The sequence below is a fragment of the Homo sapiens genome, chromosome 15 (genome assembly GCF_000001405.40).
Source record: "Homo sapiens chromosome 15, GRCh38.p14 Primary Assembly".
Lineage (NCBI taxonomy): Eukaryota > Metazoa > Chordata > Mammalia > Primates > Hominidae > Homo > Homo sapiens.
This window is the reverse complement of record NC_000015.10, coordinates 101,295,285-101,315,943: the sequence shown is the minus strand read 5'-3', so window position 1 is coordinate 101,315,943 and position 20,659 is coordinate 101,295,285. Positions and strand designations below refer to the sequence as shown.

At 50.8% G+C, this 20,659-nt stretch overlaps 1 protein-coding gene and 2 long non-coding RNA genes across 5 annotated transcripts in view, besides 2 other annotated features; 2 read left to right on the top strand and 1 right to left on the bottom strand.

Annotated features, from left to right (window-relative positions):
* PCSK6 (proprotein convertase subtilisin/kexin type 6) overlaps positions 1–12,011 on the top strand; it is a 185,775-nt gene extending 173,764 nt beyond the window's left edge. For all 3 annotated transcript variants that reach the window (NM_001291309.2, NM_138319.4, NM_002570.5), the window contains 3 exons: positions 2,439–2,568; positions 8,619–8,731; positions 10,589–12,011. In NM_001291309.2, the coding sequence (NP_001278238.1) occupies positions 2,439–2,568; positions 8,619–8,731; positions 10,589–10,686 (341 nt within the window). In that variant the 3' untranslated portion in view covers positions 10,687–12,011. The remainder of the gene's footprint in view (positions 1–2,438; positions 2,569–8,618; positions 8,732–10,588) is intronic.
* Positions 6,640–8,693, top strand: LOC100507472 (uncharacterized). Its single transcript, NR_045387.1, has one exon. It is a non-coding gene; the product is annotated as an uncharacterized LOC100507472 (long non-coding RNA).
* Positions 10,207–20,596, bottom strand: SNRPA1-DT (SNRPA1 divergent transcript). Its single transcript, NR_186319.1, has 2 exons — positions 20,215–20,596; positions 10,207–12,485 (listed from the first exon to the last, which is right to left on the bottom strand). It is a non-coding gene; the product is annotated as an SNRPA1 divergent transcript (long non-coding RNA).
* Positions 20,348–20,437: an enhancer, noted in NCBI's record as "active region_10194". NCBI's record gives its function as "activates an Ori minimal core promoter by ATAC-STARR-seq in GM12878 lymphoblastoid cells {active_cell/tissue: GM12878}" and the evidence as "EXISTENCE:reporter gene assay evidence [ECO:0000049][PMID:35858748]".
* Positions 20,498–20,547: an enhancer, noted in NCBI's record as "active region_10193". NCBI's record gives its function as "activates an Ori minimal core promoter by ATAC-STARR-seq in GM12878 lymphoblastoid cells {active_cell/tissue: GM12878}" and the evidence as "EXISTENCE:reporter gene assay evidence [ECO:0000049][PMID:35858748]".

Here is a 20,659-nt window from a genome sequence, read left to right as displayed (position 1 = left end):
GCTCACAGTGCCCCAGTGCACTTGGCAGGCAACTCGATCGAGATGAGCCTCTCATCCTCCTGAGTCCAGGTGCCCCGTGTGTCCTGGCATGGAGGTTGTAATCCTTCGGGGCTGCTGGCACAGCTGGGTTAATGCAGTGGCCCCGTGGGACGCGACTTACCCACCTGGGGCATGGCATGTGGATTAGCAGCTGACAGCCTGCAGGGCACACACATACCAAGTTGCGGGGCAGTGCCCCAAGCACCTGTGACGGTCAGCCCTCAAGCATGAGCGTCCTGTGCCTGAGACGGCACTACTTGAAACAGCAAATGAGAAACACCACAACAGACCAAGAGAGATTCAAAAGAAAGGAAAACGCTTTCTGTTTTAGTCCCTGTCGTGGCACATTCTTCCAGCTTTCTGAACAAAGGCTCCATGTTTTCACTTTATACTGGGCCCCGCAAACAACATAGCAGGTCCTGTATAAGCACAGCCCGTTCTGCTCTTATTGCTATGATTGTGGGTGCTTTTAAAGTGTTCAAAGTCTATAGAGACTTGCGACTTAATGGAATCCTTAAAAGACTTTCACTGAGTTATGAAATTCATATTTTTTAGTAGTTGAGAAAATAGGTCGCTTAGAAAATCAACCCACTTTAACAGCTTTTTTATTGCGGTAAAATACACATCACATAAAATGTACCATCTTGACTATTTTTAGGCATACAGTTCGGTGGCATTAAGTGAATTTACATTTGTGTGCCACCATCGCCACCACCTCCAAATAAATGTGTTTTAACAACTTTGAAGCTTAATACATTGAGCATGAAACTTAAGTACAAACAAGAATGAGCTTTCTTTCCCACTTGGGAGGCTCCACAGGTGTTAAGGACCCTGGTGCTGGAGGAAGGATAGTGGGGAAGACGGGTTCAGCAGGTGAGGCGTGAGAGGTACAACGGCAGGCCCTGAACAGCTCCCAAACCCCACTCAGAGTGGCACCCCGCCTGGTGTATGAGACCCACCCACCAGATGCTCCCAGAGACCAGTGATGGGGAGGGGCGGCATTGGCCAAAGCATACGAGCAGCCTCTGCTCCAGAACAACATAAACCAGACAGAGTCCCGCCCCCGGGGCACAGCTCTTCCACCGCACCTCAGGAAGAGAGGGAGACACCTGCCATGAAGACGGTGGTCCTCAAGAGGCCCCTTGAGGTCCCTACATCTGCCTCCTGCTCAAAACCCTGTGGCCTTCTCGGCTTCACTCTTCCTGACTCTCCAAGGAGGAGCTTCTCCTGCAGGAGCTCAGAATTCCCTCCCAGGCTTACGGCTGTGGTTCTGAGGTGTGAAGCCAGCCCCAGAGCCCAGGGCCTTGTGCTTGAGCCCTCCAGGCTCCGGAACCTCTGCAAAGGGATTTTCCCTTGATGCAGCGAGAGGCCCCATCTGAGTCCAGAGCAGACTGCAAGGCCTCGATCTGCGACCACAATCGAACTGAAGCAGCTGTGAGGAGGTTTACCTGGGCATTGTGATTATCATAGAGCCCCTGAGATAATCTCCTCCCTGCCTGTAACCCTCTCCGCTGTCAGTCAGTGACTACTTCACTGCCCCTCTCTGACGTCCCATCAGTTGCTCCCTGGAGACACCTGGCCCAGAGGAGGTGCTATCTAGTCAACTAGTCCAACATCTGACCCAGGTCGACAGGTCCTCCTCGGACCCTGAGCCAACCTGAAGGTTTTCCTCCATGACTCGTGGCCCTTTGCTCAGAACTGTTGTGTCTTCGAGTCTCTCCTCCCTGCCCTATAAACCCTTAGTCTTAGGCATTTGTTTCTCTGTTGTTGAAAACGCCCTGGCTGTACACACCAAACACCTGTCAACACCATTCCCAAAGATCTCTTCTTTCATCTTCCCCCGTCATCTTCTACAGCGTTCTGTGCAATGGAAGGGCCACAAACGCAAGCCACGGGTGCAATTTGAAGTTGCCTAGTAACCATATCTTAAACAGTCAAATGAAACAGGCAAAAATAATTTTAGTAACATATCCTATTCAACCTAATGTGTCTAAAATATTGCCATTTCAACATGTATCCATACAAAAAATAAATGAGCTGTTTTATATTTTTTATATGAAGACTTTGGCACTGGATTTCCAAGTGTTCAGGGAGCAGAGGTGGGCCTAGGCCTGTTGGAAACAGGGCCCATCATCGTGGCACGGCCAGTGGGCAGGTGTGCTCCCTCTGAGATCATCTCATGCCTCGATGTCCCCGTCTGTGAAATGGTGATGGCGATGCCCACCTCCTGGGAGTGGGTGAGGACGGCCCAGCTCACAGAACCTGGGAAATGGCAGCTGTGGTGGTGGCCTGGGGGCTCCTGAATGGTACCCCTGATCTCACAAGGCCCTGAAGCAGGCCTGGGGCATGGTCTTCTGCCAGCCATCCCTGATACCTGCTTCTTTTCCTGTGTCTCTCAGGGCCAGGCAGAGAAGAGTGCATTCACTGTGCGAAAAACTTCCACTTCCACGACTGGAAGTGTGTGCCAGCCTGTGGTGAGGGCTTCTACCCAGAAGAGATGCCGGGCTTGCCCCACAAAGTGTGTCGAAGGTACGGTCCTCCTGGCGGGGAACGGCAGGCAGCTGTGTCCAGCAAAGGAGTGCCTGGAGGGCAGAGTCTGGCAGCATCTTCCCCAGGGGCCGGGGAGGGCATGTTGCATCACCCCACTGTGGACAGGAGCCCATTTACAGAGCTGCTGAGGGGCCTTCGTCCCTTTGTTCACTGGATGCATATTTGTTGGGTCCCTGCTGTGGGCAGACACCGTGCAGCAGCGGGATAAGATGGGAAGCAGAATAGCAAGGTGCTCACACCCCATTGGTGGACTACGCGGGACGTCCCTGCCCATGTCGCGCTCAGCATGCATCCTTTGCACTGTCGATAATCAGAGAAACCATGTTTTGGGTTAAAAAAAAATTTTTTTGGAGACACACTCTCACTCTGTCGCCCAGGCTGGAGTGCACTGGTGTGACCTCAGCTCACTGCAACCTCTGCCTCTGGGATTCAAGCAACTCTCATGCCTCAGCCTCCCGAGTAGCTGGGACTACAGGCGTGCACCACAATGCCCAGCTAATTTTTGTTTTTGTTTTCGTTTTTTTTGAGATGGAGTCTCGCCTGTCGCCCAGGCTGGAGCGCAGTGGGCGATCTCGGCTCATTGCAAGCTCCGCCTCCCAGATTCACACCATTCTCCTGCCTCAACCTGCCGAGTAGCTGGGACTACAGGCACCCGCCACCACTCCCCACTAATTGTTTGTATTTTTAATAGAGACCGGGTTTCACCACGTTGGCCAGGCTGGTCTCGAACTCCTGGCCTCAAGTGATCCACCCACCTCAGCCTCCCAAAGTGCTGGGATTACGGGTGTGAGCCACCACACCTGGCCTAAAATATTTTTTTTAGTTAGATACTTAGAGAAATTAAAAAGATCCTGACAATTTCCTCATTCTAAAGCTGTTCTCTGCACAGTCCACGCACATCTATTTTCACCCTCCATATCCTCCTCTTGTGCTTCCTCCCATGTGTCCCTCCACAGAGTCACCATTCTTATTTGATGGCCCTGGACCCTTCTGTTGTTGGACATGAGCTGTTAAAGGAGGAGCTGTTTGCTCTGGTCTCCTCTTTTCTGGCTGAATATTGCCCTATGTTGGGAGATCATGAACTCAGGACCCAGAACAGGGCAGGGCAACCTGTCTTATTCAGGGTGGGAGCAACATTGAGGAGTTTGAAGGGACCTGTGAGGGTGTGACGATGGGGTGAGCTGTGAGGGGTGACGATGGGGTGGGCTGTGAGGGGTGACGATGGGGTGGGCTGTGAGGGGTGACGATGGGGTGGGCTGTGAGGGTGTGACGATGGGGTGGGCTGTGAGGGGTGACGATGGGGTGGGCTGTGAGGGGTGACGATGGGGTGGGCTGTGAGGGGTGACGATGGGGTGGGCTGTGAGGGGTGACGATGGGGTGGGCTGTGAGGGTGTGACGATGGGGTGGGCTGTGAGGGTGTGACGATGGGGTGGGCTGTGAGGGGTGACGATGGGGTGGGCTGTGAGGGGTGACGATGGGGTGGGCTGTGAGGGGTGACGATGGGGTGGGCTGTGAGGGGTGACCATGGGGTGGGCTGTGAGGGGTGACGATGGGGTGGGCTGTGAGGGGTGACGATGGGGTGGGCTGTGAGGGGTGACGATGGGGTGGGCTGTGAGGGGTGACGATGGGGTGGGCTGTGAGGGGTGACGATGGGGTGGGCTGTGAGGGGTGACGATGGGGTGGGCTGTGAGGGGTGACGATGGGGTGAGCTGTGAGGGAAGTACCAGGCGTTAGCCTGCTTTCACAGTGCTAAAAAGAAATACCTGAGGTTGGGTGATTTATAAAGAAAAGAGGTTGAATTGGCTCACAGTTCTGTAGGCTTCATAGGAAACATGGCGCCAGCATCTGCCCAGCGTCTTCACTCCTGATGGCAGGTGAAGCAAGGGCAGCACATCACATGGCAATAGCAGGAGCAAGAGAGGGAAGGAGGCCGGGCACGGTGGCTCACGCCTGTAATCCCAGCACTTTGGGAGGCCAAGGTGGGCGGATCACCTGAGGCCAGGAGTTCAAGACCAGCCTGGCCAACATGGCAAAACCCCTTCTCTACTAAAAAAAAAAAAAAAAAAAAATGCAAAAATTAGTTGGACGTGGTAGTGTGTGCCTGTAATCCCAGTCTTACAGGAGGCTGAGGCAGGAGAATCGCTTGAACCAAGGAGGCGGAGGTTGCAGTGAGCTATGATCGCACCATGCACTCCAGCATGAGCGACAGAGCAAGACTCCATCTCAAAAGAAAAAAAAAAGTCAGGAGTTGCCACACACCTTTAAACAAGCAGCTCTCACATGAACTCACTCATCACCAAGGGGATGGTGTGAGGCCATTTATGAGGGATCCACCCCATGATCCAAACACCTCCCACCAGGCCCCACCTCCAACACTGGGGATCACATCTCATCATGACACTTGGAGGGGACAAATGTTCAAACCATATCGGGGGGCTTCCGTCTGAAAAAGACTGAAAATGAGGGAGCCCTCAAAGGCTTGTGTCAGAGCAGGGGAGGGGTGCCCATGGCTGGCTGCCAGCTGGGTACCGATTCACCACACAGTGGGGTCTGCCTCCCAGGCTGTGTGTAAGAACCACTGTGGGTTGTAACCTATTCCCCTAGAAACAAAGCCCTACAGTGAGCCCATGAGGGACCACCAAGCCCTTGCACTTGTCTGACCCACAGCAGAGGGACCTGGTGGCGGTTACGTATCTCGGCAAGCATCAGCCCCTTCTACTGCGTTGCTGTAATGGAGGAAACTTGCCACCCGCTTGCAAGGTGCAGCCTTGCTGAGTCCTGCACGGGGCCCTGGGCACAGTTGTCTGAAGTTAAACCCTTCATGGTAACCAGTCAGCTGGTTCTCAGATAATTAAATATAGCAATCCAGGGAGAACTTGGAATTAAACAGTGATAATCACTTTCATTTGTCAAATGCCCTGGATTTCAGGGCATGCTGATCATGCCCACAGCTGTGCAACTGGACCCCTGCAGGCAGCCCCACCGCAAACCTCTCTTTGCCCCTCAGGAGGCAGCAGGCGGGCAGCCCCACCGCAAACCTCTCTTTGGGCAGTGGAGGACAGGAGTTTCCTGGGTACTTGTTCCCAGGTGAGGGGCAGCTTTCGGCCCTGCAGAGGCTGACAGTGCTGGGGCTGACACACCGGGTCTTGGAGAAGCACCCCCCAGGAAGAGCGTCAGTGTGGACGCCTCCCAAAGGAAGCAAGGCCTTGGTCCGATTGGTTCTGCGGGGTCTCTCCCCACTTGGACAGCCTGAGCTGAGAACCACAGGCATCCTCCAGGCCCCAGAATGCTGGTGGACGCCGTGGCCGTCCGCTGCTGCTGTGCCAGGCAGCTCCGAGGGAGCATGTGGCCAGACGGGCTGCGTTGGAACATGCAGGTCAGGACGCAGGCCTGCTGGGTTGGCAACTGCAGGTGGAAGCCGAGGCCCGACGCTGAGAACAATGCCTGATAAGTTCCCTAAGAGAGGGGCCGAGGCCCGACGCTGAGAACAATGCACGATAAGTTCCCTAAGAGAGGGGCCGGACACCCTCAAGACCTAGTGAGAGGACCCAGCAAGAGCCAGCCTGGACAACTTGGAAGAAAAACAGGCCTCTGTGGAGTGCTTGCCAGCGGGGGAGGCAAACTCCTCATGCCCTGGCCCTGCCTCCACTTGCCCCCAGGCTCAGCGGGGGCAGAGACTCCCAGGGGCACAGCTTGAAGGGGCACGCCTTCTGCCAATGCGCATGCTGCGTCCAGGCTGGAGCATGAAAGCGTCAGTCTTCTGCATCCCACTCCTGAACAGGCAGGAGGCTGATGGGAGTGGCCTCTGCAAGGGAGCAGGGACAGAGGGCTGCATCCGGCATCCCTGTCCTTCCAGAATGTGGCAGGGCAAAGCGGCCATGGTGTTTGGGGGAAAAGTAGGTACCATAGATGGTTGCAGAACCAGAAGCATCTTAAAAGCCACCCTGCCCAAAGCTGGTGCTGCCCACGAGGACCCGCTGCTGGGCACGGTAATCCTGACGGAAAGCAGGAGCTACACAGGGTCTCCCAGGGAGAGCCGTCTGCACTGGCCTAACGGGGACGGGAGCATCACCCATCTCCCTGAGCAGCATGGTGATGGATTATTTCCCCAGACCTCCAGAGGAGAGCCCAGCCTGGCCACCACCTTGCCCTGAACCTCGTGAGACCCTAGGTGGAGAGCCCAGCTGCACCTGCCTGGACTTCTGCCTGCATAGCGGGGAGCCGCTGAGTGGGTGTTATTTTCAGCTGCTGAGTGTGTGGCAACCTGGTTAGAGCAATGGAAAACCGAGGCCCCTGCCATCCTGCTGAGCTGGGTGAGGTTGTATTTGAAGAAGCAAGCAAGCCGTAACCTCCTGGCTGTCCACCGCAGCGCGCTCCTCACCACAGTTCTTCACTGATGAAGCAGCCCTCAGCCGTGGCCTGGGGGCACTGGGCCCCTGGGTCCTCCAGACCACTGACATCTCTTTAAATGACTCAGCTCGGCCCTGGTTCTCGTCTCACCAGTGGCATTGTCTGTAAGAGAAACCAGAGGGTCTGTGGGGAAAGTCATAACCTGTACTGGGGCATCAGGGTTTGGTGGCTGGGCCACCAGAATGTGCAAGGGCAGGTGTGGGGAGGGGGCAGCATGATGGGGGCAGACCCATGGGGCTTCCCACAAGTGCACAACCCCCTCTGGCAAGTCCTCTAACCCCATCCTTTCCTCTGGGGCGGCCTGGATGGGAATATTAGAAAGGCTCGTGGGTGTGAGTTTGCCTGTGGGGTTTACACATTTACAATTACAGACCAAGGGCTTGAGCTCTAGGCTCAGCATCCTCAGACACACTAGGAATAAAACCCACCTCCCACCCAGGCTGAAGCGATGCTGCACCTGGGGCTCCAGAGCAGCGGAGTCCGTGGTGAGACCAGACCCCATCAGAGGGCTGCTCTGCAAAGAGCCCCACGAGGAGGCCTGGTGTCTGAGCGTGGGAAGGCTTCACACAGCAGGGAGGGGACATCTGTATAAAGCAAAGAACTGCCCCCCAGGGAGGCCCAGGCATGAGCACAACAAAGCTCCAAGCCCTGCCTATGGGGCCTGTTCCACCCTTAACTGGCAACAATGGGGAGGTGGGCAGCTGATGCAAGCACTGTGGAGACCGAGTCACCGGGCTCTGGACTCAGGACAGGCAGCAGCATAGCCGGGGTGCACTCACGGCCCCAGGATGGGAAACGTGCTCCTTCAAGCACTCGGCCCGCATCGGCAAGTGCTTTCTGTAGAGGGCACAATGGTCAGTCGTTCAGGCTTTTGGGGCCACACTGCCTCTGTCACAGCTACTCAGCTCAGCCACTGCTACACAAAAGATTGTCAATGAATGAGTGTGACTGTGGTCCAGGATAAATGCTGGATGTGGCCCTTGGGCTGTAGTGCACCAACCGTCCCCTGAGGTCACGTTTACCCTGCATTAGAAATAGCCCTGGCTGGTGTCCATCTCTGCGCAGGCTGGGCCAGGACCGTCCGAGAGGGGCAGGAATTGTGGGGCATCTCTCCCACTCCCCGAGGGTAAGCAGGCATGGCCACATATAGGTGACAGCAGCCTTCTGGTCAGCTCGAGTCAGGTGTGTCACATCCCTGGGTGGAGTCTGGCCTGGACCCCAAGCCTACAGCCATCGCAGCCCGGCAGCCGCTGGAGAGAGAAGACTGACACAGCTCTGGGAGCCGTGTGGTGGGGTGGGGGCTGGGTGCCAGGGCCCAGGAGGGTGTCCAGGTGAGCTGCGGGAAGCCTCGGAGGCCTGGCCCCTGATCCTGGGCTTGCTCCTGCCAACTGGCCATGGCTGTCTCTGCCCTCCCAGGGCAATAGTGAGGTCAGACAGGAGAAAAGACATGCAGACACTCAGCCCCTGTGTCAGGGAATGGTGGGCGACACAGCCTCTCCACAGAGGACCGAGGCTGAGGGGGTGGGAAGGAGGTGCAGGGAGGTGAGGGTTCTGGGAAGGGAGCCCGGAGTGGTGGAGCCTCTTCCCCAGACTTCAGCAGGAACGGTATCTTCCCACAGGTGTGACGAGAACTGCTTGAGCTGTGCAGGCTCCAGCAGGAACTGTAGCAGGTGTAAGACGGGCTTCACACAGCTGGGGACCTCCTGCATCACCAACCACACGTGCAGCAACGGTGAGCAGCAGCTGGGTTACCCTGGGGCTGCCTGTGGAGGAGCTCAGCTGGCCAGCTCGTGCTCCAAAGAGAAAAGCAAAGCCACATAGGCATGGCGGCTCCACAGACAGGCGTTCGTGCCCCTGATCCGATTGACTGTCTGGGATTCCTCTAGCTGATATGGAAGACAGCTGCCCTGTCTCCCAGCTTCCCTCTAGGCCTCTCACATCGATCAGAGAGGCATCCCAGCCACTGCTGATCTGTTTATTGAGTGACTCCTAAAAATGATTTTGTCCTTGTACTGGTCCCACTGCCATGCCATAGGCCGCCGGTGGCCCGGATGTGACGACATACCATAAAAGAAGCCTGACCTGGGGGGTCAAAGCCAGGAAGCCTGGAGGGTCTCTGCTCAGGACGAGGGGGACAGAGCCCAGAGTAGAGCACACGCTCAGCAGCAGCAATCCCAGCTCTGCAGGGATCCAGCATGGACCTGCATCTGTGCTGCAGGAGAGCCCTGGCTCTGCCATAGGATGGGGGACAAGGACAAGTTGTAAAAACAGAAACTTAAAAGGGCACCAAAGCTAAGTGCCCAGTTTGGGAATTCCAGGCACCAAGGAGGGTTGGCAGGACTCGGGCCTGGAGGTGCAGTGCAGGAGTCATTGTAGACACACGGGCAGGGAAGGGGGCTCTGGCCCAGCAAGCAGCAGGGTGGAGCCACATTCTGACAGCCAGGAGAGGAAGGCTCTCTGCTCCAGTGTCCAGGGTCAGGGCAGGTGGTCCTTGGGTATGAAGCTGGCACTGGCCCTGTCCAGGCAGAGCATGGAGCTTGTGGAGGGCCCTGGGATGCCTCCTTGCCTTGTTACTGGTTATTATTTTTGGGGGGTGGCGGGAGGGTTGTCTAATTATGTCCCTTCAAAGGCCCAGAAACTACTTCTTTGGGAAGTCACCTGCCCAGGTTATGTATCTAGCCCAAAAAAGTGTGGTTGCCACTGGAGGGCCTCCCAGGTCCACGGATGATGCATCCTCAAAGGCCTCTTCCCCTTGCTGCAGCGGTGTCCTCAGCAAGTCCTGTCCACGGCGGCTCCCTTCCCCCCATCCCCACTCCTCCCTGTCCGCCCCCTCCACCCTGGAAGCAGCTTCCATTCCCTCCTGCCTCCAGGCCCGTCCTCCGGCCTCCCCTACAGTCTTCCTCCTAAGCTCCACTGCCAGCAGTTGTCCAGAAAGACAGGTGCACATGTGCCCCACAGGCCCAGGCTGGGTGTTCTCCTGAGATCCCTCCCACACCACCCCCACATCCTGCTCATGAATCCCCTTGTCACTGAGACTCAGCAAGAGCCCCATATACCAGTGCCCTCCCGCCACACAGGGCTCCCAGAGTCAAGTGCATTGCAGGAGAGGGGCTTCAAGGGCTGCCATCCTGCTGCCCACCTCTGTCTGTGTCCCTCTTGCCCAGGGCACCACTGATGCCCAGCATATGTGGAATGATTGAAACAATATTTATTTATGTATTTATTTATTTATTTTTGAGACGGAGTTTTGTTCTTCTTGCCCAGGCTGGAGTGCAGTGGCATGATCTCAGCTCACTGCAACCTCTGCCTCCTGGGTTCAGGTGGTTCTCCTGCTTTAGCCTCCCGAGTAGCTTGGATTACAGGTGCCCACCACCATGCCCAGCTAATTTTTATATTATTAGTAGAGACGGGGTTTCACCATGTTGGTTAGACTGGTCTCAAGCTCCTGACCTCAGGTGATCCACCCACCTCGGCCTCCCAAAGTGCTGGGATTACAGGCATGAGGCACCGCGCCCGGCCTTGAAACAATCTTCACAGGCACCGAAGACTGACCTTTCCCTCTTTTGCCTTTCCTGATGCGGGGCCCCAGCTGACGAGACATTCTGCGAGATGGTGAAGTCCAACCGGCTGTGCGAACGGAAGCTCTTCATTCAGTTCTGCTGCCGCACGTGCCTCCTGGCCGGGTAAGGGTGCCTAGCTGCCCACAGAGGGCAGGCACTCCCATCCATCCATCCGTCCACCTTCCTCCAGACTGTCGGCCAGAGTCTGTTTCAGGAGCGGCGCCCTGCACCTGACAGCTTTATCTCCCCAGGAGCAGCATCTCTGAGCACCCAAGCCAGGTGGGTGGTGGCTCTTAAGGAGGTGTTCCTAAAATGGTGATATCCTCTCAAATGCTGCTTGTTGGCTCCAGTCTTCCGACAAACTAACAGGAACAAAATGAATTCTGGGAATCCACAGCTCTGGCTTTGGAGCAGCTTCTGGGACCATAAGTTTACTGAATCTTCAAGACCAAAGCAGAAAAGAAAGGCGCTTGGCATCACACATCACTCTTCTCCCCGTGCTTTTCTGCGGCTGTGTAGTAAATCTCCCCGGCCCAGCTGGCGAACCCTGGGCCATCCTCACATGTGACAAAGGGCCAGCAGTCTACCTGCTCGTTGCCTGCCACTGAGCAGTCTGGGGACGGTTTGGTCAGACTATAAATAAGATAGGTTTGAGGGCATAAAATGTATGACCACTGGGGCCGGAGTATCTATTTCTACATAGTCAGCTACTTCTGAAACTGCAGCAGTGGCTTAGAAAGTCCAATTCCAAAGCCAGACCAGAAGATTCTATCCCCCGCAGCGCTCTCCTTTGAGCAAGCCGAGCTCTCCTTGTTACCGTGTTCTGTCTGTGTCTTCAGGAGTCTCATGGCCTGAACGACCACCTCGACCTGATGCAGAGCCTTCTGAGGAGAGGCAACAGGAGGCATTCTGTGGCCAGCCAAAAGGTACCCCGATGGCCAAGCAATTCCTCTGAACAAAATGTAAAGCCAGCCATGCATTGTTAATCATCCATCACTTCCCATTTTATGGAATTGCTTTTAAAATACATTTGGCCTCTGCCCTTCAGAAGACTCGTTTTTAAGGTGGAAACTCCTGTGTCTGTGTATATTACAAGCCTACATGACACAGTTGGATTTATTCTGCCAAACCTGTGTAGGCATTTTATAAGCTACATGTTCTAATTTTTACCGATGTTAATTATTTTGACAAATATTTCATATATTTTCATTGAAATGCACAGATCTGCTTGATCAATTCCCTTGAATAGGGAAGTAACATTTGCCTTAAATTTTTTCGACCTCGTCTTTCTCCATATTGTCCTGCTCCCCTGTTTGACGACAGTGCATTTGCCTTGTCACCTGTGAGCTGGAGAGAACCCAGATGTTGTTTATTGAATCTACAACTCTGAAAGAGAAATCAATGAAGCAAGTACAATGTTAACCCTAAATTAATAAAAGAGTTAACATCCCATGGCACAGGAGCCTGTATTTCTTTCCACGGCACACAAAATGAAACATGAGTGCTGACCAAGTGTTAAGTGGACGTTACTTTAACTGTGGTTTCAGATCTGTTTGATGTCATTACGTGGAAGGTCTTCTTTTGAGCTTTAGCAAATGTTGATGTAAGGAAGCAATGGAGGAAATCCCAGATCCCAACCCCAGAATGTCACTGGGCAAAGAGACCCCTTCAGACCACGTTAGCCTCACTGGGAGGAGGTTCTAGAGCCTCTCCAGATGTAGGGGCCCCTTCCATCTGTCACGGGGGAGCTCCCCAGAGCCCAGACTGCCTCTTCACCGGTTGCTGCCAAGTGTGATTGAATTAGGTTACAGCTTGTCTTCTATGCAGTGGCTGAAATCCCTGAACCCATGGCTGATGCACTCCTTGGGATGTTTACCATGGCCTCTCTGTGAAGTCAGAAGCTTGTACTTGCTAGGAATCCTTTGGCTGCAAGTAAAGGAAACGCACCAACTAGAAATGACTTAGGTGAAAACAAGAGTGGGTGAGGGGCGTTGTTTTGAGAATCCAGAGTGGATTCAGAATTTCAGGGAGGGGTGCAGCAGAGCCTTGGGAAAGCTGGAGCCGGCATTAAATGTCACCTGGACCCTCTCTGTACGGCAGCACTGCCCTTCTCTCCATGGCCGCCTTCTCCAGTTGATGGGACAAATGACAAGACCTCCAGCATCTTCCAGGTAAAACTGGTACAAATCCAACCCCTCAGGCCAACTTTCTGGGTCTGTTTCTTGGCTCTTCTTTTCCCAGGGACAGGACTTGGTCAGCCTGCCTTACATGGGTACTCTCCCTGTGTCATCAGCTGTGGCTACAAGGACAGGCTTGTGCAGCAGAATATGGCTGCAGGGAGCTCTGCAGCAGAGGAGGGGAGCAGTGTGCAGCTCTCAGAAGGCAGGGCAAGTCACACAACCCAACAGCTGGCCACCACAAGCACCAATTGACCAGAGTTGTGCGTGTGAGGCAGTGAAGGAATAAGTGTGTTTGGGATGAACATTCAACCCCTTGCCCCGCCCATGAGACCGACCTTGAATTAAAAGTAACTTGTTAAGTGCTGCTGGTGCCAGGCAGCCTTTTAGACCCTAGAGCCCAGATACCAGCAAATCCGAGCTGCCCACTGAGAGCTTACAGTCTACCATGTTTGCAGCTGAATCAGAAATAAACTCCTGGCCGGGCATGGTGGCTCACACCTGTAATCCCAGCATTTTGGGAGGCCGAGGCAGGCGGATCACCTGAGGTCAGGAGTTCGAGACCAGCCTGGCCAACACAGTGAAACCCCATCTCTACTAAAAATACAAAAATTAGCCATGCGTGGTGGTGACACCTGTAATCCCAGCTACTCGGGAGGCTGAGGCAGGAGAATCGCTTGAACCCAGGAGGTGAAGCTGCAGTGAGCCAAGATTGCACCACTGTACTCCAGCCTGGGCAACAAGAACGAAGCTGCGTCTCAAAAAAAAAAAAAAAAAAAAAAGGGAAGAAACTCCCTTTATCTCCCAAAGGGAGATACAACTACAGGAAAGCCAACCAGGCAGCCTCGTCGAGTGGCTAAGCCAGGCAAGCCCAGCTTGGGGCTGACAAGTCGGGTGGGGAGTTGAGAAGTTGTTCACAAAGTCCTAATGACTAAACTCCACCTTGTTGAAAGAGACCAACTACATATAATGTCTGCTCACAAGTGGTCCGACCTTGAGGTTAAAATTGTCTGGACTCTGGCAGGATATGTGTATGGATTTTAAGTGACAGGATCATGGATCACCTCCTCTAAACCTGTCATTTCCCAGACAAGGACACTGAGACCCACAGAAGTGAATGCCTTGCCTGGGGCTGCACATTGGCAAAGTTGCTCCCCACCGGGCCCAGGGAAGGAAGCTGGCTGGCTGCAGGAGGGGCGTCGTTCTGCAGCTGCCCAAATGCAGCCATGATGCATTTGTTTTAAACTAGCTTTATTTTCAGGGGGTGATGTTTACCTGACCTTATCCCCAAATTCTTTGGCACCTCACAGTGGACCCCATGTGTACATCCCCATCCCTCCCAGGCCACTACTGACTTTGTATCTTGCGACTCTTCAAAGGACTGGTGAGAATGGCACTTTGTACAGAAGACACACCTGAAATGGGAGGGGGGGTGGACAGAACTTAAAAAAATAAAAGGGCCAGCCACAGTGGCTCACACCTGTAATCCTAACATTCTGAGAGGTTAGAAGCAAGAGGATGGCTTGAGCCCAGGCATTTGCAGCCAGCCTGAGAAATAGAGCGAGACCCTGTCTCAATCAATCAATCAAAAACGACAGAGATAGATAGATAGATGATAGATTGATAGATGATAGATAGATAGATAGATAGATAGATAGATAGATAGATAGCAACATGGTCTAAATGAGTCTAGGAGTGGAGTGTCCTTGAACTTGGGGAGACCACCCTCCACTGCATTTGCATTATTGATACTATGGCTGGAGAGGGCCTTTTGCCTAAAAGCTTGGAGTATGTTGGGGCCCCCGAGAGCAGGTGAGGGCCAGAGGTTCAGATCAGAGGATGGAAAAAGGAGGTGGAGAACAGGAAAGAAAAACATTTTAATAAGAACAAGCAGGGGTGATGGAAAGTATACACCAAGGCCATTCTCTAGCATCTTAAGGTTCTGCCCAGCCAGCTGGGAGGCCACTGGGCACTGGCTGCTGGGGGGAAAGGAAGAATCTGCTCCCCTACCCCAGCCTTCACTGTTGCTTTCCTCGCACGAACCCCAGACTCTATCCTTCCTGGTTGGCTGTTTAAGTCCTTTCCTGACACCCCAGGCTTTGTGGCTTATCTGAGCACAGAACAGCATCCTTAGATGGTACAGCACTGAGCACCCACCTTAGATCCTAGGATTCAGTCCCACCATCCAAAGCCCCTCACCACTACAGACCAGCCACACTAAGGGTGACCAGATATCTTAGACTCCCTTTTGAAACAACAGGAACCAAAGTGCCCAGGGCAGAGAACATCCTGTTGCCAAAATAGTGGTTCTCAACCAGGGATGACTTTTGTCTTCCAGGGGACATTTGGCAACGTCTGGAGACATTTTGGGTTGTCACAACTGGAAGGATGTACTCACATCCAGTGGGTGGAGGCCAGGAATGCTGCTAAGCACCCTGCAATGCACAGCAGCCCCCATGACAAAGAACTGTCCAGACCAAAATGTCAATAGTGCCGAGGTTGAGAAATTCCGGCCAAAAGAAATGGAATCAAAAAAGAAAATTGTTTGCAACTTCATAGAGATACCCTCAATGAATAAAACCACATATGGTTTGACTTCTGTCCCTGTTCCTATGCTGAAGGGAAACTTGTACAACTTTCCCTTTTTAAAGTAAAGAGATACCACCCCACTCTTTTTTTTTTTTAAACACAGCAACAGAAGGGCCCCAAGTTAAAACCAGCTCTCCAGCCTAAGGACTCCACCTGGTGGTCCTCTCTGGAATTAAATGAAGTTGAGGTTTTATTTTGTTTAATTTTTTCATTATTCAGTTATTTTGTTTAACATTTTTAGTTATTTTGTTTAAATTTTTAGTTATTTTAACTTTTAAGTTATTTTATTTCTTAGTTATTTTAACTTGTTATTTTAATTTTTTTAGTTATTTTAACTTTTTAAAGTTATTTTAATTCTTTAGTTATTTTGTTTAACTTTTTTAGTTTTTTTAGTTAAACAAAAGTTGCAGTGACCGGGGCAGGTGTGATGGCTCAGGCCTGTAATCCCAGCACTTTGGGAGGCCGAGGCAGGGACAGGGGGCAGGGGAAATCACTTCTTAGGTCAGGAGCTCAAGACCAGCCTGGCAAACATGACAAAACCCCGTCTCTACTAAAAATATAAAAATCAGCCAGGCATGGTGGCGAGCGCCTGTAATCCCAGCTACTTGAGAGGCTGAGGCACGAGAATCACTTGAACCTCATGTTATTCCTCATGAGGCGGAGGTTGCAGTGAGCCGAGATTCCGCCACTGTACTCCAGCCTGGGCAACAGAGCGAGACTCCATCTCAGAAAACAAAGAAGTTCCAAGTACAATACAAAGAAATTCCCTCCCAATTTGAGAGTAAGTTGCCGATATACCCTATGACCGCCCCCCCCCCGCCAATACTTCAGTGGGTATTTCCTATGAACAACGACATTCTCCGGCACAGCCATCAGACTCAGGAAATTAACATCGGTATGTTATTACCATCAACCCTCTGACTGAATTCTAGTTCTGCCAGTTGTCCCAATAAAGTTCTTAGCAAAATGGTCTGGTTTAGAAACACACTTTTCACTTAGTCATCATGTCTCTTTAATGTTCTTCCATCTGGAACAGTTCCTCAGTCTCCTTGCCTCATGATGTGGAAGCTTTTAAAGACTATAGGCCAGTTATTTGTAGGCTGCCCTTCGCTGTGCACTTGTCTGAGGGTTCCTCACGTTTTGAGTCAAGTCATGCATCTTTGACACGAATCTCACAGGCTGATTCTGTGTTCTGTCTGCATTCTAGCAGGGAGTACACGATCTGTTCCATTATTGGTGATGTTAACGATCATTGGTTAGAGTTTTCTTCCGGGCTATGAAGTGATGCCTGCCAAAGCATATCCACTACCACCGCTGTTCAACATTGTGCTAAAGATCCCAGCCAGTGTAACAGGGCAAAAAATACAGAACCAGTATAATAATTGGAAAGGAGGAAATAAAACTATCTTTTTTTTTTTTTTTTTTTTTTTTTTTTGAGACCGAGTCTCACTCTGTTGCCCAGGCTGGAGTGCAATGGCATGATCTTCACTCACTGCAACCTCCGCCTCCCTGATTCAAGTGATTCTCGTGCCTCAGCCTCCCAAGTAGCTGGGATTACAGGTACGTGCCACCACACCCGGCTAATTTTTGTATTTTTAGTAGAGGCGGGGTTTCACCATGTTGGCCAGGCTGGTCTCAAACTCCTGACCTCAGGTGACCCACCCACCTCAGCCTCCCATAGTGCTGGGATTACAGGCGTGAGCCACCACGCCCAGCCAACTATCATTATTCTCAAATAGCATGGTTATGTATGTAGAAAATCCACAAGAATGGTTACAGATAAACTTAAGTAAATTTCACAAGATCGCTGGATGTAACGCCAATATACAAAAATCTGCTGTATTTAAATATATCAAACTAATGATTAGAAAATGGAGTTTTTAAACAAAAGGTACTATTTACAGTAGCATCAAAATCTATCAAATATCTAGACAATCTAGTAAAGGATATACAAGGCCTTGACACAAAATCTGCAGGATGCTGCTGAAATTAAAGAGTGCCTCAATAAATGTAGGGCTATAATATGCCCATTGATTGGAATACTTCATATTGTAAAGATATTAATTCTCTCCAAATTCTTCTACAGATCCAACACACTACAAATCAAATCATGGGTGCTTTTTCACATATATCTATAATTTATGTTCACATGCAAAGGATTAGAATAATCAGATAACTACTAGATAATCTGAGAAAAAAATGGGAGCTTTTTTTGAGGGACAAATACCAAGTCTTTTTCTAAAGCTTGTATTCTGCAAGGATAGCTGACTAAACCCATGGAAAAGAACAGCTAGTTCAGAAGCAGAGGCCCTCACATATTTGGACACTTGATTTTTGAAAAGAGCTGCTCTGCAGAGCAGTGGGGGAGAAGATGGTCTTTTCAATAAATGGTGCTGGGTCCACCAAATATCCATATGGGGAAAAATATATCTTCTTCCCTACCTTAGACTATGCACAAAAATCTAGGCCAGAGAGACTGCAGATCTAAATGGACAAGGTGGAAGAAGAAAGCTTTTAGAAGAAAATATAATTTTGGAGTAGGCAAAAGTTTCTCACAGCGTACTCGAAAACTATTAGCTGTATAGGGAACGGTTCATAAATCAGACTGTATTAAAATGAAGAACCTCTATTCATCAAAAGATACCATTAAGAGAGTGAAAACCCAAGCCACAGGGGGAAGATACTCACTACAGACATAGCTCACAAGGTTCCTATTGAAAAAATATAAAGAGCTCCTACAAATCAGTTTAAAAATAAAGCCCAATAGAAAAATGGGCAAAACACCTAAGCAGACACTTCATTAAAGAGGTTATCCAAACAAACATAAATATATTTTTTAAAGTTCTCAATTGTGTTAGTAATTAGGGAAATACAGTTAAAACCACAATTTCATACCATTACCTATCTACCAGAATGGCTAAGATTAAAAAGACAATACTAAACGTTAGCAAGGAGTTTAAGTTGGCAACCACTTTGGAAAACTATGTCCTACTTAAGCTGAACATAAGTAAGCCCTATGACCCAGTAATTCCATCCCTGGGAGTATATCAGTATATGTGTTCACATAAAGATATATATTATTGAGTTTGTAGGTACACTATTTATAATATAAAAGAGTGAAAATTACCCAAATGTTCATCAACAGCAGAATGGATAAGTAAATTGTAAAACATCCACAATGAAATACCATATTACAGTGAGAATAGATTAACTACATCTACACACAAACATAATGTTTAGCAAAAAATATGCAAGGTACTTCATTTGCATAAATACAAAACTAGATAAAGCAAATCTATACAAGATGGCAGGATAATGGTTACCCTTGGGGCAAGGGTGGTGACTAGATGAAGACAGGAGGAGGGCTTCTGGAATGTGGCAATGTCCTGTTCTTACGAGGATGCTAGTTGGTTGGGTGTGTTCAGTTTGCATTCTTCTATATGTATATCATACTTCAATAAAAGTTCAAGGAGAATCATCTCCGGGTGGATTGCAGAACTAAATGTGAAAAGCAAAACAATCGTCTAGTAGACCACATAGGAAAATATGATGGGGGTAAGGGAAGATTTCCTAAGGCACATGCACATGCACACACACCCAATCCACTAACCTAAAGAAAATAATTGAACTACATAAAACTTGGAAACTTCTCAGCCAGGCGAGGCGGCTCACGCCTGTAATCCCAGCACTGTGGGAGTCTGAGGCAGGTGGATCACTTGAGCTCAGGAGTTGGAGACCAGCCTGGGCCACATATCAAAACCTTGTCTCTACAAAAAATACAAAAGTTAGCCAGGCCTGTTGACCTGTGCCTATAGTCCCGGCTATTTGGGAGGCTGAGGTGGGAGGATCTCTTGAGCCTGAGAGGTCAAGGCTGCAGTGAGTCCTGATGGCACCACTGCACTCCGGCCTAGGTGACAGAGTGAGACCCTGTCTAAAAAAAAAAAAAAAAAAAAAAAAAAAAAATCTAATCATCAACACCATTAAGAGTGAAAAGGCAAGCCACAGAGTGTGTTCATATCCCTAATATATAAAGAAATTCCACAAATCAATAAGAAAAAAGGCAGACAACTCCATAAGGAAAAAAAAAAAATGAGCCAGGGACTCGAAAGAACACTTAACCAAGGAAGCTATCAGAATGGGCACCATACACATGAGAAGGTTCTCAGCTTCATTAGTTATTAGAGAAAAGCAAAGCAAAGCAGTAGTGCAATACCACCACACACCCATCAGAATAGCTGAAGTTATAGAGTTAAAATGCCAAGAAGGCTGAAGCTGGAAGCCATGAAAACCCTTACACACCGCTGGAGTGTGTATATTATTTCAGCCTCTTAGCATAACTGTTGGGCATTACTTATTGATGATAGATATACCCTATGTCCCAGCAGTCCCACTCCAGGACAAACTCATGCAAACGTGCATCAGAACCACGTACCAGAAAATTCATAGTAGCATTACTCAGAATAGCCCTAACTGAAAACAACTTTGATGTCTATCAACAGCAGAATAAGTAATTTATGGTATAATATATACAATGGAATTCTCTTCAGCAGCAAAAGCAAACAAACCATCTCTGTATGCAACCTGGATGGACTCCAGACATAATATAGACTCCATGAAACTAGGCCAAAAAAAAAAGCATACTGCATGATTCTATTTATAGCAAAAGCAAGCAAACCGAATTTGTAGTGTTGAGTTCGCGGTTGCCTTTTGGGAAAGAGGGAGGCTTTCAGAATAGCGGTGTTTTGGATCCCGGTGTCGGCTACGCAGCTGTGTTCACTCTGGTCATTAATCACTGTAAATTCCTGATATGCACACTTTTATGTATATCACATTTCATACATATGAATATTCAGAAGTCTAAAGGTCACAAGCTTAACCGCAAACCCTACCGTGCCCGAGGCCGGGCTGGACTTGCGGGGCGGTGGGGTTGTCCCGGCGACCTGCCCCAGGCGGGCCACCTAGCCCGGGATCTCACACTGTAGCCCGGAGCCAAGGCCCAGGCCCGGGGCGGGCACCTGAACTGCTGGACCCTTCACTGAACCCCACGGGTTCCCGCGACGGCTGGTGGAGGGAGGACAGTCACCGCTTCCCCTCCCACCTCGAGGTGCGCTAATGCATGAGAAAGTTCCCCTCGGGTGTTTCCACATTCGCCTTAACTTTTAAACACCAACGTCTGGAATCAGGGGTCCTCCAGACTCCGAAACACACCCTAGGAAACAACCCAGAACGAGACACATCCCCTGTGCGCGCGCCACGACTTCCGGCAAGAACGCCCCCGGAGGCGTGGCTCTTCGATTGCTTCGGCCTGGCGGTCGAGCTGCGCGCGCACTCGGC